The 1,901-nt window shown below is 43.9% G+C and overlaps 1 annotated feature.

Moving 5' to 3' along the window:
• Positions 1,357 to 1,557: a silencer, noted in NCBI's record as "peak4639 fragment used in MPRA reporter construct". NCBI's record gives its function as "represses an SCP1 promoter by STARR-seq MPRAs in K562 erythroleukemia cells {active_cell/tissue: K562}" and the evidence as "EXISTENCE:reporter gene assay evidence [ECO:0000049][PMID:32103011]".

The raw sequence follows: 1,901 nt of genomic DNA, 5'->3' as shown, positions 1-1,901 counted from the left end.
AAAGGCTTTCTAACAACCCCCAACCCTTTGGGGTTAGGAGCGTTGGTCTGCCTGGAACCAGCTTCCGCTTTCACAATTTCCTGGGGGGAAGCCGAGGGCCGACTAGAGGCAGAAAGCTGTCGTCCTGAACTCCCGGCATTGGCTGGTTGAGATCATGGTGCAGCCAGAAGTCTCTACTCAACAGTTGCCCACGTGTGCACCCCTACCTTTCCTTCTGACCCATACCTCCTGGGTCCCGACCATGACTTTCTTGAAAGTGTAGCCCCAAAAATTCTCCTTACCTCTGAATCTACTTCCTCCAATCCCTGCCTCCTAGGTACTAATGCTTCAGACTTTCATTTCCTCTCCCAAGTATTAGAGCAAGTTGTATCTCCAAAGAGATCTAAGGAAGCTCTATGCTGTGGCCTTAGATATCTAGGCTATGAACCCAGGGAGTCTTGCCCCTGGTGTCCCTCCCAATTTAGGTATATAGCTGTCAACATGGGCTGTTATGTGGGACCCATTCCCCACCACCCTTGCCAGGGCCCCAAGTTTGTAAATAGCTAGGAAGATCGCTCTCCCATTGTGTAAGATGCTCTCCTCCCCTAATTTCTACCCAGTTTACTACCCCCTGCAATACAATCTCCAAGCCTTGGCTCCTTGGCCAGGCCCTTAGAACTGATAACCCAGTATTTTAACAACTGGAACTGAGTCTACAACAACATAATAGATCAGGATGAAAACGAATTTGAGTAAATTAAAGGGAGGCACATGTTCCTATAGTGGCAAACTGGGGCAACAAGTGAACGTCCTTCCACTGCGTTTCCAAAATCCATCTAAAAAAAGACAGACAGAGAGAGGAAGAGGCAGAAAGTCAAAGAGAGAAAGAAAGAAAAAAGGGAAAGAGAGAGGTAGTAAAGAAAAAACAGTGTACCCTATTCCTTTAAAAGCCAAGGTAAATTTAGAACCTATAATTGATAATTAAAGGTCTTCTCCACGACCCTATAATACTCCAATACTACCTTGTTGTCAGTGTAAACAAGGGCGTAGCCCGAAAACACTGAGACCACTGACAACCCATAGCCTTCCTATCAAAAATCCTGAACCCAGTAACCCGTGGATGGCCCAAATGCATTCAATCTGTAGTGGCAACTGCTTTGCTAACAGAATAAAGTAGAAAAATAACCTTTAGAGGAAACCTCATTGTGAGCACACCTCACCAGTTCAGAACAATCCTAAGACCAAAAAAAAAAAAAAAAAAAGGTAGCTTACTAGCTCAAAATTCTTAAAGTATGGGGCTATTCTGTTAGAAAAAGGTGATTTAACACCAACCACTGATAATTCCCTTAACCCAGCAGATTTCCTAACAGGGGATTTAAATCTTAATTGCCATGCAAAGGTCCAACCAGACCTAGGAGGAACTTCCTTTAGGATAGGACGATAGATGGTTCCTCCCAGGCGATTGAGGAAAAAACCACAATGGGTATTCAGTAATTGATAAGGAAACTCTTGTGGAAGCAGAGTTAGGAGAATTGCCTCATAATTGGTCTGCACAAACTGCGAGCTGTTTGCACTCAGCCAAGCCTTAAAGTACTTACAAAAAGAGCAAGCCCATCTTTTTCTCCTCGCTCTCCTTCTCGTAGGAAAAAGGCACATAGGATAAACAGGAGCCATCTCTCATATTTCGTACCCAAAAGGACTTAATCCAGGGCAACAAAATCTTAAGTTCGATAATTAAGGCATATTCCTACAAAGGAAAAGGACAAAGGCCCTAGTGGGCAAAAACTCTATCTCAATCCTGACTCAAAAGGTTACCTACACCCTCTCTGAAACGAATTTGCATAAGAACTGTTGTTTATGAAAATGCATCTTGATGGGGCAACTGGGTTGTTATGAAATACTCAGAAACCCAGCCCAGCTCT

This window comes from Homo sapiens, chromosome 3, assembly GCF_000001405.40.
Source record: "Homo sapiens chromosome 3, GRCh38.p14 Primary Assembly".
NCBI lineage: Eukaryota > Metazoa > Chordata > Mammalia > Primates > Hominidae > Homo > Homo sapiens.
Note: the sequence above shows the minus strand (reverse complement) of the source record. Positions and strands in the feature narration are given on the sequence as shown.